At 46.4% G+C, this 15,413-nt stretch overlaps 1 protein-coding gene across 19 annotated transcripts in view, besides 2 other annotated features; it reads right to left on the reverse strand.

The window, feature by feature from the left end:
• The window catches only part of AFF3 (ALF transcription elongation factor 3), a 597,172-nt gene that overhangs the window by 554,672 nt on the left and 27,087 nt on the right, over positions 1-15,413 (reverse strand). For 5 of the 19 annotated variants that reach the window (XM_047444284.1, XM_047444285.1, XM_005263943.5 and 2 more), the window contains exons 1-2: positions 4,578-4,658; positions 4,312-4,428 (exon numbers count right to left, since the gene is read on the reverse strand). The exons of 1 other annotated variant lie outside the window; for it this stretch is intronic. In XM_047444284.1, the coding sequence (XP_047300240.1) occupies positions 4,312-4,364 (53 nt within the window). In that variant the 5' untranslated portion in view covers positions 4,365-4,428; positions 4,578-4,658. Of the gene's footprint in view, positions 1-4,311; positions 4,429-4,577; positions 4,659-5,244; positions 5,494-5,581; positions 9,925-9,963; positions 10,244-12,295; positions 12,435-15,413 lie in introns of those variants that run through there. 13 more of the 19 variants (XM_047444278.1, XM_047444277.1, XM_011511171.4 and 10 more) reach the window with 7 other exon arrangements.
• Positions 4,709-4,734: a tandem repeat, named in NCBI's record as "fragile site, folic acid type, rare, fra(2)(q11.2)".
• Positions 4,709-4,734: a repeat instability region, noted in NCBI's record as "repeat instability region; expansion of the (CGG)n trinucleotide repeat (CCG relative to the plus strand of the reference genome) is associated with intellectual disability". NCBI's record gives the evidence for it as "EXISTENCE:polymerase chain reaction evidence [ECO:0000082][PMID:24763282]" and "southern hybridization evidence [ECO:0000078][PMID:24763282]".

The following is a 15,413-nucleotide window of genomic DNA, read 5'->3' on the forward strand; positions in this document are numbered from 1 at the left end:
GAATATAAAGAATAATGCCTATCTGAACAAAAGTGTGTGGATTCTGGCTTATATGAAGCTGTGGAGGAATGGGGTGAGTGGTAGGGAAGATCAGAATATTTATTATACTGTTGTATGTTGATAGACTTTCTCTCCAATGATTAAAATGTGTTAACATTTAAGGAAGATGAAATACAAGTTCATTTTGGAAAACTTTTCTCATTCACTGAAACTACCTCATGACTACAAAGTTCTGCATCTTTAAAAGAGACAGTATAGGTAATTCCACCATGATGCATAAAATGATCTTTTAGAGACACCATGAAAGCCCTTGTTCAAGTTTTCTTTGCCCAAGATGTCTCCATGTACTCTCAATACCCCCACCCACACCATCTGTCTTCCAAGACTTAGTTCAAAGGCCACCTATTTCATGGAAGCCTTTGTTTTTTAACTCAATTTTTCCTCTTTCCATCCTCCACCCAAGTCCCAAATATGGTCTCTTTTCTGAATCACCAGTGTTGAAAACTTCCTTTTTCATGTGTGTTCTTGTCTTAATTTCCTCACTTGACAATAACACTAATATGTACAACCTACGCCTTACTCATCCTTGCATCTCCCACAGAAACCAGCACAAGGTCTTCTACTTAAGAGATGATCAACAAATATTTGTTAAACGAATTAAATGAAAGCAACAGTTAGCCTGTTAAAAGGGATGGTCATTATTTTAAAGGCCCTGAGGAATGGCTTATATGTCTAGCACCTAATCAAAAGCTGGTGGACCACAGAAGGAAGACCAGGGAGTGGAGGGGGCAGCCTTGTGCCTCTGCATATCTGCTGCCCCTGTAAACTCACGGAATGCCCAACTCTTCAAGACTCTACAGAACAAAGCTACAGTGTTGGGTGCTGAATGAACACCTTAACCTTTTTCCAAGTTCTCCAGTCTTGCTTCAAACCAGAAATTGGAAGTGGAATTAGAGGTGGAAATTAGGGCCATCCTTTTCAACTTTAAGGTATGGCTGAAAAAGTTGAAACAGCCATCTGGATAATTCAGGCTCAAAAAACCCATCCTGAAGAGTAAGTATGGATGTTTCTGAGTGGCAGGAAGAGTGTGCAAGAAGGCAAAGGAGGTAGTTGTGAATTATCAATTGATTGTGTATATTGATTATATTCAACAGAACTGAGCTTTTCCCTTTTTATTTTCTATAAGGACACTCTCTGTGACTGCAAGAATAAACTAGCTCAGATTCAAAGCCACAGTCACCACTAATAAATTCCAATTTGTTCAATTGGAAAATGATGTCCATCAATTAGAAAAAGTTCTTAGGGATTAAGATTCTCTTTTGCCATTAATCTGTACCTCCTCCTTCCTCCTTCAAAAAAGTTTTTCTATGATCAATCAAAGGAAGAAGTTTTCAATGGTCTTTAAAATGTATATTGCTCTAATACAATAATTCATAATTAACAGGTATACTTTCCTAACTATGGTAGTTTATTTTCAAATTTTTAATTTTAATACCATTTAGGGCTCTCTCTCTTTGTTATTTTAGTAGGACCTTAACTTCCAGTCCATCGAGGTTTTGTTTTGTAATTAATTTCAGAGCTGTCCTTATAAGCTGAGAGATATTTGAAGTACTCTAGAAAATGGCAATTGTCTGACCGGATTTGAAGTCAGATCACTGGGCTTTGAAGCTAATTTCTGGTTGAAATATGGCTGCCCCATTTTTAGATGTGTGACTCTGGGCAGGTTACCCTATCTTCCCATCTTCAATTTTCCTATCTTTAAAATGGAACTAATAACAGTACTTGCTTTATAATTAAATGAGCTAAAACATGTAATGTACCCAGAACAGTGTCTGATAAATAATACGTGTTCAGCAAATGTTAGTTTTAAAAAGTCTGCTGTCATCTGTTTTATGACCTCAGTAAAGTCATTTAACAGTTCAAAGCTTCTATTTCCTCATCTATAAAATGGAACTACTACCACTTACTTACCCTTTCCAGGATTAAGAGATTCAAATAAGAAAACAATGGATATGAAAATATTGGACACACAGAAAGTTCTCAAATATTAGTTATTTTGAACCATCTATAAGCTTAAAAGTAACCATAAACTTAAAAATTTACGTAAACCATAAAACTGAGAACATAGCATCCAAAAATTCATCTGTGAGAAAATGTCTAAACATATTAGAAATGCATACTCAAGCTTGGTTTTTCTTTAACTTATCAGAAACATATAAGCTTTTGTAAAATGTAATTCTACATCTGCAAAACTAGAAACCCTCCCGGTCAAGCCAAACTGTCCTAGTATATTGTGATCAAGAAAGTCTACATGCCTTCATAAGCCAAAACTCGATGCACTGATTAAAATGTGATTGCACGTACATCAACTTTTTAAAAAACGTGTAAGTTTTTGTTTTTTTTAAAGTAATAAATGTACTGCTAATGTAAATTTCAAGTCAATTCAACAGATATTTATTCTGTGACACTGCTCCAGGGTAATTCAGCTGGGAACTAAGGATGCAAAAGGAAACAGAGCTCAGGTTCTGTGCAGGAAGACCCCACAAATTACGCTGATAATCTCAAAATATTACTTATGAAAGTCATAAGGGGGTTCGCTTTGAGTCAGCAAGCAGACAAGCAGCATAAAAATATACCGAAACAGTAAGTTCTTCCCTTTGACTGAAAAACTGCCTTTTAAAAGCAAACAGCATTTTAAAAGTACAGTTGCTATCTGGAAAGCTATTGAATTTGCGCCAGAAACCAACATTTCTAAATGTAAACCTATAAAATAATAGGTATCTGTAAATGAAAGGCTGAAATAACCCCAGGAGCAGCAACACAGTAATTAGCAACTTTTACACAGTCATAACATGTTTCATATTCTTTCTGCCCTGGCTCTTTGAAGTTTCCAGTGCAATACGTAAAAGTTTTATTACATTAGGGCCCGTCCTTGTGTGTTTTACAGGCACCAACATTATGCAGAGCAAGCTGTACTTACTCATCATAGGATCTTTTATAAGAAACCGTTTGATAATGTGCTAGCTTTGTGTCCAGTTTATTTTGTTACACCTGTCTTTAGGAAAATAAAAGTCACTGGAAACCTAAATCACAGAAAATACACACAGATCCACATATCATCTATATGTTATAAATCATAAAGCAGTTTAGCTTTAAAATTGTACATTGCATATTCATGTGCACACCACTTGCAGTTTTAGACACATGTGAACTCTTTACTGAATTAAAGCAAAAGGAAAAAAAAAAAAGCTCAGCTCTACAATAAGCGATTACCAGAGGCAGAACAGAGTGCAGTTAATATGCTTGTTCCAGCAGATGTTCATCCCCGTAAATATTAAACATAACACAAGTTCCTCCAGGAATATGCAGGCAGTAATTTTACCACCTGAATAGTGCTGGTTGGAAACATTTAAGAGATAGTGGGGGGTTGGGGGGAGCAGAGAAAGAAGGGGGAATAAGACAGATACTAAAGCAGCCAATGGGATTTTTAAGACACCCGCAACTGGAATTAAACTGCTTCCAGCGGCGATTTACCTACAGCAGCTCCCCAGTGTGAGATCCCCCGAGAAACGGAACCTGGAGTGCCCCCCGGGCTGCGAGCTGTGAGCGTGGCATAAAGGGATACCCGGGGCGCCCGGGTGGGGTGGGGAGGAGGAGTGCAACTGTGACGAGGTGTGAAGAAAGGGCCCAGAGGAACTGTGAACCCCGAGGAAAGGAGTCTCCCTGGGCTAAGGCCTCTGGAATACCGGCACGGAGAAACACTCGTTTCCTGCCCTGGATGTTCACTTTTCCATCTCGGTGGAAGTGGGTGGGAGAGACAGAAAGGATGCAGCCGAGACCGGGCGCAGGCGGGGAGGCTGGAGCATCCTCTAAGGGCACTTCGCAGCAGCACCAACTCCAGGGGGTCGGTGGTGCCAGCCGGAGGAGGGAGGGGGCGCAGTCGGAGGGAAAGGAAGTGAGAGGAGCAGGGGGCCGACGGGTGGATCCCCAGGCATTAGTGACACAGTCTTCAAATCGCTTCTTTTCCTCCCCACGGCTGCGCTCTGCCCCTGGCTACCTAGATCACCAGTCCCTGGGCTGGGGCGGGCCGCCGCGAGGGAGGGGAACAGGAGAGGGGGAAACAGACGGGCAGGCGGCCACGCATCCCACCCGGGGAGGCAGAAAAGGGCTGGCGAGGCAGGCGCCCCCGACCCACCCCACCCCCACGGCGGCCGGCCGCCCGGAGCCCCCGGCCCAGGTGAGGACGCGCGGGCCGCCGCGGCCGCCCCTCGCCGCTCCCGCCCGCCCGAAGCGGCCGGCACGGGGACTTACCACAGTGACTCGAGGTCCCATTCCTGGAGCAGGGCTAAGTCGAAGCTGTCCATGGTGGGAGGTGTCAGCGTCGCCGCCGCCGCTACCGCCGCCGCCGAGGCTCGGGCCGCCCGCGCGCTGCAACGAAAGGCGCCGCTCAAGGTGCATCCCAGCCGCGCCAGAGCGGCCGCCGCCCGCCCACCGCCCACCCCCAGGTCGGGGCTCCCGACGCCCCCCGCCCCCGACTCCGGGCCGGCCGGGCTGGCTGCAGCGGCCGGCGCACTCACCCGCTCCCCGGCTTGCGCGCAGGCACACTCAAGAGAGAGCAGCGAGCTCGCCGCGCCGCCGCCGCCCCCCGCCCCCGGCCCTGCGCCCGCCCCTCCTCCCCTCCCTCGCGGCGGCCCGGCCCGCTGCTGCAGCCGCCGCCGCCGCCGCCGCCGCCGCGGTGCTCTGCGCCCGCCCGCCCGCCTCTTTCTCCTCCGGGAGGCGCGTGTGCGCGGGCGAGGCCGAGGCGCGCGCGCACCGTGAGCCCCGCGCCGCGCCCGCCCCGCGCGCCCCTGTACTCCCCGCGCCGCTCCTCGGGGTCCCGCGGCGCTCGCAGGCCGCGCCGCCCTGCCGCCCCTCTCTCGTGGCTTTTACGGCCCGCCCGCCCCTCAGCAGCCCTGGGGTGCCCGGGGCGGCCCTGCAAGCGGGAGAGAGCGGCGAGGCGGCGGCGCCGAGTGCGGGGGGATGCGGAGCCGTGCCCGGCCCTGTCGCATCCCTCGGCCGCCCGCCCGCGCCCGGCCCCGCCCGGCCTTGCCCGGGCTGCACGCACTTCTCCCGCGGCCCAGAATCCACTTGACCCTGCTGGGCGCTCCCGCGGGCGGCGGACCCGGGTGGGTGCGGGGGAATTCCCCGGCCGCCCAGGCGCGGGGAGAGTGAGCTGTGCCGCCCGCAGCAGCGCCCCAAACAAACCGTTTAAGGTCTCTGGAGCCCGCAAGTTCAGCGAAATAAAGCGGCGGCGCGGAGGAAACCTCTTCCACCCGGACCTGCTCTCCGTTGCGGTTTGGCCTCCAGTGGTGGTCCCACCCACCCTCTAGCTGGCCAGCCCTGGAAACCAACCTCCTTTCTTTTTATTTCTCACCGGGAAGGGGGACAAACTGGCCTCTGGGTGTCGACTTCAAACTTGCCGCCCGTCTCCGGTCTGGAAAGGCAGGTGATCAGCTAGAAGGGTGATAAGAGTATCATCGTGGCTCCTAAAGAGTAATAATAATCTCCCTCATTGTAAAGACAGCTCTTCCCCCTGGCTTACTTTTTTAGACATGCTGAGAAGCGCATGTCTCCATCAGGGCCCTACCTCTGCTTCTCCACAGTTGGCCTAGAACCGGAAGCCCCTCCAAGGCCCCCTGACTCTCCTGACCTCTTGGCCACAGCTCCGGATTCTCACCAGGGATTCCCCAGAATTCCTAGAGAGCAGCTCAGAGCCCTGCAGTTGTGCCTCACCACGCGAACCAAACCTCGCACTCCCCGCCAAAAGGGAGTCCCTTCCAGCACTCTCCCCTTTGTTCCTTTTTCTGGGCAAGAACCGCTGACTGGGGCTGCCAGAAATGTAAACCCTGGGTGCAAGTGACGGGATCCCTCCAGCGTCAAGCCGAAGAGTCATCCTCTCACCTCACCCACCTCCGAATGAGGATTAACAAACTCAATTCAGGACACAGGTAGAAGACCAAAAGGCCAATGAGACTTCTTTCCTATTTGAGATCGGATTTGAGAATGCTCAGCCTGGCTCCCTTCTTCCCCCAGCTCTGAATCAATCCTTTCTTCATTAGCATCCATAACTAATGTGCAAAATGTAAAACGCTAAATTAAGACAGAGTTGGCATCAACATAGTCTGAGAAAATGAAATTGTTATTTTACAAGCTGATAACTCTCAGCCCTCAAAAACCCCTCTCATTAGCTGAAGGTAGCAAGTAGCAAGAAGATTAGGTAAAAACATAGAGAATATGAATATAGGAAAAAGTACAGGTGTGAAGGGCTGGCTGCCCAAATCCCAATGCACAGTGTATTTGGAAAAAGAAAAAAAAGAAAAAGAAAATCTGTCTTTCTAATATCCCCTTAGCATACGCCTTGTTGGAAATGTTTGCTTTGGCGAAAGTGAGATCGAGACATTGAGACAGCATTCCCAGGAACAAAGGCTGGGGGTGGAGGGTGGAGGAGGGAGCAGGAACAGCCCCTGTCTGGAAGAACTGCAAGTTCTGAGGCCTGAACAAGAAATGTGTCCTGTTCCCGTGCTCCTGGCTGCAGCTGGGAAGCTTCTTCAGAAAGGAGACCTCCCGGCCCTCACCGGGATCTGGCTTTCCTTCCCTTCCCACCACATCTGTTTATACAAAGGAGGGCCGCTGAAGGACAAACATAACCGTGTTTACTGCGAGTCCCATGCTGGGCCTGGAGCTCAGATACAGATTTGCCCTCACCATGGAGGCTGAAGATAAATAGATGATCCCAGAAAAGGAAAGAGGGAAGGCCCTGGGATGGTATAGAGCTGGTTGAGGGGTTTACTCATGAAAGGCCTCTCCCAAAAAGCCATGTAGTAACGGGCAGATTTACGTTTGAATTTAAACTCTGGTGCCTTGTGTTAATATATGAGAGTGTGTGCACCTAAAGCAATTGCAAGGCGGGTATTTAAAAATGTTTCTTTAGGAATAGCCATGATTTTCTGTTTGGGGCCTCTAACATGGGGATAGTTGGATTGATTATTTCCAGTGTTATGTTTTCATGTAATAGTGTCTTGGAGAATGAGGACTTTTGAGGAAACCCAAATAGTAGTTGCAGATCCTGTTTTTTACTAAGCTGTCATGGAGATAAATCCAAAATAGTTTTTACAAGTAAAATGTAGAACAGTTAGTGAGAGCCTTTATGGGAGATCTTTATTATTTATCTGGTTTATGAAGATGTTCCTATTATCCTCCAGCCTCTGGGTATGCAAACCAAAACAAGCACTTAATCTAGTTGTCAAAATTTTAACTCCTTAATACAAAGCAAAAAAAGGGTTTGGACTTTTGGGGATTAGAATGTCAGAACTAAAAGGGAACTTTTTTATGTAAAAGAGAAAGAGACTCTCTAAAAATAAAAATGTTAGAGTGATGTTTTCTATGAAGCTGCCTTAGCTTTTGCTCATCCTATAGTGCTTGTGACCTGAGGGTCTTTTCTCCCCACATGGATGCAAGCAACACCCCTGGGAGCTGAATCAAACCACCCAGCTAAGGGGAGGGCTGCTGGGGGAAGCTGCTAAATGAGAGGAGCTGCTTGGCTTCCCGGGTCAGGTTGGTTGGTTGGTGTAGACTAAATGTACCAAAGAAAGGGACTAACAAATGAATCCTGCTCAGTCTGGGGCCCTACTCACATTCTGCCAACCTAGTGCTGGAAGCCTCCTAAATAAATCCAGAAGCAAACCTATAGCATCTAAGATCTCCCTTCAGATATGATTTGATAGAAGAGAAGCCTTGCATGGCTTTAATTCATGCCTTATCCTGAAGACGCAGCTGCAACTCAGAGGTCATTTTTGTAACCAAGTGGGATTTTTTTTCTCTCTTTATAATCCCACCATTCCCCTAGAAAAATATGTCTGGCCAAAAGCTGGCTCTGCAGGTGGTACTGCTGGAAGGTGATAGGAGCATCATCAAGCTGCCTCAGCCCCTACAGCATCTCCTCCAGCTTTGTCCCTAAGGACACTACTCTCTCCTGTTCCAGCAAAGCTGCAGACGCATGACTCCATCTGCTTCTCCTTCCAGAGGCTTCTTGGGTGTTTGTAACTGTATCCAGGGATTGCAGGATAAACCTTCTAGGCTTTCTCCTTGCAAATTACATGCTAATATGTTGAACCCCAGGACAGCGTAGATTTTAGATCCACCCAGGAGTTCTTGTGTCTTCAGGCCTTTCCCTCTCTCTCCACAGGTATCTCTGAGTGGTTCTAACCTAGGATTCGAGGTGCCTTTCTTTCTGTATTTTTTCATCATTCACCAGGTCCCGAGCAGATGGTGTGGCTGTGCTGACTGTCATCACTCCTCCTATGTTTCCATGGAAACATGGGGCATAGGGACCATCTCCGCCTTGGGCTCTCTGACAGTATCCTCTGGCGAAGAACTTCAGTACTTGTGCCCCTCCCCCCAGCCTGTCCACTGTCCTAGGGAGTTGGAGACCTTTCTGGGGCCCTAGAAGCCAGGGTCATTTCAGAGATCATCTAAGGACATACTCCCTGCAAATGGTTTTGAACTGGCTGGGAAAAGGAGGGAGGGTAGAAAGGGGGCCAATACCCCGGTCGAGGGCTGAGAACTGTTTTAGAAGGCAACATATTTGGACTATCTGTCCCTGCAGCCAGCTTCCATAATAGCTGATTATTGCCCAGATGTCAAAAGAGCTGCTCCTAGGGTTCAGTCTGCTCATCAGACAACAGATATTTATTGAATGTAAGTAGTTGCTGAGGTTTTATGCTTCACTGACATTCTACACCCTGGGAATGAGTGTTTCTGGGAATGTGCATTTCTTTCCTTTTTTTTTTTTTTTTTTTTTTTTTTTAACAAAACCAGGTTTTTCCCTAAGGAATGCACCTTCCCCAAAGTTTCCCGCATCCTCCTGCCTACATAATTCACTTATATAGTCACTATGACATTAATTAGATTCAGAAGTCTGTGGAAACAGCAGAGCTCGGCAGGGTCAGAGGGCAAGCAGGGCAGAGAAAAGAGAGGGGAAAATGAGCTCCGGGAGAGGGGAAGGAAGTGGAGGGAAGTTTTTCATGCCCTTCAAGTACCAAACAAAACAAAGATAATTTCAAAAGTGGTCAGCCACTATAACACTGCTTAGAGAATTAAAGTATTGACAAATTGAAGAGTGCTTTAAAATAAAGTGGATGGGGCATAAGCATGTATGTCTTGGTGTTAGTTGCTCCTTATACAGCCGGTACTAAAGGCTGGTGGGTGAAGCTTACCACATTTTAAAAAGAAAAAGGCAGGCACACATACTAAAGTTGAAAATGCAGGCAGGAAGGACATTTACTTTTCATAAAAGCGGATCAGAAAAGCATCTCCTATCACAGATCATGTATTTTATGCCATGCTGACCAATGTTGGGGGATAATCTCATTATTTTGTGATATGAGAAGATCCTTTGATGCTGGTAACAAGAACCAATCATCCTGACTTAAATCTTAATATCCCCACAGGTTCTTTGTCATGCTTCTTCAAGATGTGCCCTGGCCATTCATGCAAGTTTCAAGGACTCTGAATCTGTTGAGAATAGGACATAACTAATCGTATCATTAGCAAACATGTCTATATTACTGTCAACTGGGTGCTGTTCTAAAGTATCAACTCCATTTAGTCCTCCCAAAAGCACATGAGGTATGTTGCCATTGTTTTTATTTTGCAGGTGAGTATGCTAAGGAACAGGTAAGTGTCACAAACCCAAGCATGGCAGATCAGGAATTGGTATGGTATTACTGGTAGCTGTGATACCATACTCCACCTCCCACAACTTTTGCCTTAATTATCTATAGCATTGGCGCATTCTCATGCTCACAGGCACTGAAATAATGAAAGTAATACAGTCCCAGTCGGAAGGCGAGAGAGAGCCCTCTACCCCTCTCTGCAATTCTCCTGCCACCCAGTTTTGCCCCTTGAGTTCTGCCATAACCGCACCTGGAGTGAGGCGCTCCTTGTCTCTAGCCTCAACGTCTTCCTTTGCAACATGAGAAGGCTGGATTGGGTGTTCTTTGTCTCTGTCAGTTTTTGTCTCTGACAGTTCTGAAATGTTAGAGGTCTGTTTTTTTCAGTTGTTCTTCCTGAGCACTGCCAGACAGGAATCCCTGGAGTATGTCAAGAGAGTCATAAACCTTTTCTTGTTTAAAGGTAGGACCTCCTTCTTGGCTTAAACAAATCTCAAGGTGTTGGTCTGCTTCAAACAGGAGTGCTGTGCTATCTGTGAAGTATTAGCAGACGGCAAGAGGAATGTGTTCAGGAAGAGGACACTTAGCTTAGGTCTGGGGGAAGCATGGGGAAGAAGTCACAACACAACTGTGGGTGTCAGGCTCTTTTCTCTGGGGCACCAGAGAGTATTCAAGCATGGATTGGTAGTCCCCATGCAGCCCTCGGAGGAAACCGAAGCTGCAAATGCAGCAATTATGGCTTACAGCCTGAAAATGGTGACATTCCAAAATTGCATCTTAATGGGTAAAACATTGGTGGAGAAAGGGCAGCAGAAGATCCCCACAAGGTCCTTCAGGTACAGGCATCTCCCACTGCTCAGAGTCCTGCTGGGGGTCCCCAAGTCCCAAACAAGAAGAAGCAGAGAGCAGAGTTCACCTCTTCAGGAGCTTAAGATAAACAAGTTCATGCAGCAGACACGGCTGGCTGCCCACCCAACATCCATCTGCACTTGTCCTTGATAGCAAAACCTGAGTCTGGTTTGGGGAAGTCACAAGCCCAGCTGACATAACTGTATTTTCTAGTCTCTCTTATTGCAAGAACTGGGCATATGACTTAGTTCTGGCCAATAAGACACCCGTTTATGTCAGTCAGGATTTCTCAGAATGTTTTGCTTCCCTGCAGTAGACACCACCCCTTCCTCTAGGTCACTTTCTTCTTCCTGTCCAGAAAGGTGGAGAAGCCATCATCAATTTTAGGAGCAAAAGCCACAGACTAAAGTTGGCAAGTCTGAAGTTAAAAGGAGGCTAGGTCCTTGATGACTGCTTCATATAACCCTACCATCTTTGGACCATCCTACCCAGATCTGGACTTTTAGGAACAAAATAAGACCCTATGTGGCTAAGCCACTCTAGCGGTGTTTTGAATATTGCAGCTAACCCATTAGAGAAGTCACAGTCCCTTAAATGTGCCCCGCACATTGCCGTGTATAGTCAGGACTACCAGATATCCCAGCCTATATGCCCCAATGGGGGCAGCACTGCCAAAGAATTAAGTGTGATTTACAAAAACCTGTGATTACTTCCTTACATGTAATCTTGACTACTTCTGAGTTCACTCCAATTGTAAGCAAGTTAATTAATAAGAAACTCATGCTCAATTGTCTGAAGACTGATTAATCTGGCTCCAGCATTTTTTGAATATTCCATATTATTTGTTTCTTTATTTTCATGTTATTTGTTAACCTGGTTAAGTTGCTGTGACATCCTCACAGGGATACCAACAGATGGCATTTACGAAAAACAGTGTAGGAATAATAATAGTCAGCCTTTCTTGTGTCCTTGCCACATACACAAAAATATGTATGTTTCAGAGTTTGTCATTGTTTCTACCAATAAACTAATTATCACTGTATGAAGCTGATTTACTTCAGAAGAAGTTTACGAAAACAACTAATTAAGTACAGTATGTTGAAATATAAACTGCATTACAGGGTTAGAACCCTATAATAAGATCGCAGAAGCTTGAAAGTTGGGAGAAGCCATCAAGTCTCTCTCTAGCTAACCTGCTACCCATTGCAGCAGTTCCCTCCATATCAACCCTGCTATGGGCAGTCTCCACATGAATGTTTCCAGTGGTGGGGAGTGCGCTCTCTGAAGAGCCTCCCTGTTTTACTTTTCAAGGGCTCAGCTCTAGCTGGAACAACATTCTTCCTTATATTTATGGATCCCAAATTGATTTCCCTGTACCTTCTTAACATGTCACAGGCTCACAGTAAGCATGCAATTAGAGCTCAGCTTTGCTGAACTCCTTCTATTGGTCCTCCATATATTGAGACTTACGGGCTCAAGTATTTCCTCAGCACTTTGGTAAGTGAAAGAGCAAAGAAAGAAGTCTTTGCTCAGTGGAATACCATACAGAGAGGGCGAGTCAGTCTCTTAAGAGGAGCACATGGCCATGGAGATGAGAGAAACCCCACCTTCTTCTAATTTGTAGTTGGTTTCTTGGAAGAAGGGAGCTTCATAAAGAAGCTAGAGCTGGCCACAAGAAGGAAAATGCCCACAACAAGATAGGAGGCAGGAAACCCCTGGAAAAGAAAGATACCTACCTGCTAGTTCTCAGGGAAGAGGCTGGGCCAGGCATGGTGGCTCATGCCTGTAATCCCAGTACTTTGAGAGGCTGAGGCTGGAGGATCACTTAAGCCAGGAGTTCAAGACAAGCCTGGGCGACATGGTGAGACCCTGTCCCTACAAAAAATAAAAAATTAGCTGGCCATGGTGGCACACACTTGTAGTCCCAGCTACTCAAGAGGCTGAGGTGGGAGGATCACTTGAGCTCCAAAGTCAAGGCTGCAGTGAGCTGTGATCACACTGCTGCACTCCATCCTAGGTGAAAGAGTGAGACCCTGTCTCCAATGGAAGAAAAAAAGAAAGAAGCTGCACAATGGGAGGTAGAAAGCAGGAGCCCAAGGTCGTGAGAGGAGGAAAGTGAGTGAAGGAAGGGGCTCTGATTAGAGCTACAGGCCCGAGGGCCTGCCCTGCTCCACCACTATCTATAATGAGAGCAACTCTTTCCAGGGATGGCTCCCAGTGTTTTTCCAAAGCTCCTACTCACCTGTGATGCTTATTATAATTCCATATACTTGGCACAGACAGTTACAATTTTATGAATTTAGCATTGCTTTCTGTCACTCTCTAGACAACAATATGAGGTTTATTACAACATAAAGGGAAATTCATCCTCTTGGACTTGACTGAGTGTCAGCCCAAATCCCCATGCTGTCATCTCTGTCATCTTCCCTTGAAGAATGCAACCTCAAGTCAGGGCTGAAGTCATTGGGGATACATTCCCAAACCAGGGTCCTGGGGTCAGGCCTCAAGAGGATAATCTCAATGATCACATAAGTCATTTCAGATATTGATTTACTGAACAAACATTATTGAACACCTATTACATGCCAAGCAGTGAGCTAAGAAAGAAGATGAGAAAGAGAAGTTTGAAAGGCCAAAAAGCCCACTGTCTAGAAGATAATGCACACACATCTTAATGCACTTACTCATCCTTGAATTGAACAAATACTTCTTGATTCAGTTAGGTGCTTAGAACTATGCTAGGTACTGAGTTTATTACCAAAGTGAAACAGACATGGTCTCATGAAACAGGCCATATACAATGTTGTTTTAATATGCTTAGTGCTATGATGAGAGAAGTGCAGGTACTCAGGGAGATCTTTCCAGAAAGAACGACTGATTTGCATTCCAAGTCAAGAACTGAATTATCAAGACTAAGTGAATAGGGGGGAATGGAATAGAACAAACGCCGTGTACTATAACGTATTACCTGCTATGACAGAAGCATGTCTGTGGAGCTACAGGAGCAAAAGAAAGTGGATGATGACCAAGGCACTCCTAAAGGGCTTAATACAGCCCCTAACATTGGGTTGGGTCTAACGGAATGAAAGTCAAAGTGAGAGTGAGGAGGCAGTGATGGAAGAGCATTCCAGGCAGAGGGAAAACCACAGAATAGAGCACAGAGGCCAGAAGAAGCATGCCATGTTCCCCTAGCAGAGAAGGTTCTATGTGGTCAAAGTGTTGCCTTGAGGTGGGGGGGTTGTAGAAGTCAGTAGGTCAAATGGGGGTTAGGGGAAGAAGCAGAATGAAGGGAGATGGAAAAGGAGCCAAGGCCAGGGCAAGAGATTGGGGCCAGATGGTGAAGAGGCCTGTATTGATGTTGTAAAAACATTTTCAAGTAAGCAGGAAACCAAGATCAGAGATTCAGTAAAGCAGCTAGTGAACACCCAGCTGCCAAACCCAGGGGAACAACTGAGAGTTGAAAAGAGGAAATGTCTTCTGAGAAGCCAGAGAAAGTATTTCACAGAGGATTCAGCCCAGGGGTTTTTCTTTTCTTAGTTGTAAAATCCAGCAAGTCTGGAAACCCCTTCCCTCTGCACAGAGCTGGCCCAGAGCACAGTGAAAATGTGAAGTGCCTTGTTCATCAATTATTAAGAATTCAAAATGTTGACAGCAGAGCTTTAGACAAAGATAGCACCCTTCTAAGGGTACGGCCCTGTGTGACTGCACAGGTCACAGGCTCATGAAGCCAGCCCTGCACTGTGTTTTTCTGAGACAGAGTCTCGTTCTGCCACCCAGGCTAGAGTGCAGTGGTGTGATCTCAGCTCACTGCAACCTCTGCCTCCCGAGTTCAAGGGAGTCTCCTACCTCAGCCTCCCGAGTAGCTGGGATTACAGGGGCCTGCCACCACGCCTGGCTAATTTTGATATTTTTAGTAGAAACAGGGTTTCACCATGTTGGCCAGGCTGGTCTCGAACTCCTGACCTCAAGTGATCCACCCACCTTGGCCTCCCAAAGTGTTGGGATTACAGGCGTGAGCCACCACGCCTGGCCAGCCCTGCATTTTTGCACCATCAGGCATCCTTTCACTAACAGAAAGGGTGGGTGCTGGCTCCCTGGAGCCTGGAGTCACAAGGACTAGATGAGCAACACATTGAGAGCTCAGCACTGAACTCATAACATCATGCAAGCCCCCGTGTTGAGTTCATTCCAAAATGAAAAGCTTCTTTTAGTTCCTGATTGTATTGATAATATACACACAGGAAGACAATTCAAGCCATGCACAGCAGTAAGTACGTGATTGGGGTGGAAATGTCAAATTATAGGTATGTATTTCAATTTTTTTCTCCCCTTTCTATGAGAGAGTCCTCAAAAAGACTTTTGTTTGTTATGCAAGGTGATGATCAAGATGAATCTTAGGGAAACTGAGAGGAGGAGGAAATGGTTGTACAAAATTAACATGTGGGATTTCCTGGTGATCTTCCTAAAATTGGCTCATAGCTCAATTGCATTGTAATCACAGAGCAGACTCTTTATCTATCATTTGGATACTTTAAGACTTGTTGAGATTTGCTCTGTGATCCCACCTATAGCTAATTTTGTAAGTTTCCATGCATGCTTAAAAATATGTGTATACCAGCCAGGAGTGGTGGCTCACACCTGTAATCCCAGCATTTTAGGAGGCTGAGGCAGGCAGATCACTTTGAGGCAGGAGTTCCAGACCAGTTTGGCCAACATGGTGAAACCTCGTTTCTACTAAAAATAGAAAAAATAGCTGGGCATGGTGATAGGCACCTGTAATTTCAGCTACTAGGTACTTGGGAGGCTGAGGCAGGAGAATCTCTTGAACCCAGGAGGTGGAGGCTCCAGTGGGTT

Source organism: Homo sapiens, chromosome 2 (genome assembly GCF_000001405.40).
Source record: "Homo sapiens chromosome 2, GRCh38.p14 Primary Assembly".
Classification (NCBI taxonomy): domain Eukaryota; kingdom Metazoa; phylum Chordata; class Mammalia; order Primates; family Hominidae; genus Homo; species Homo sapiens.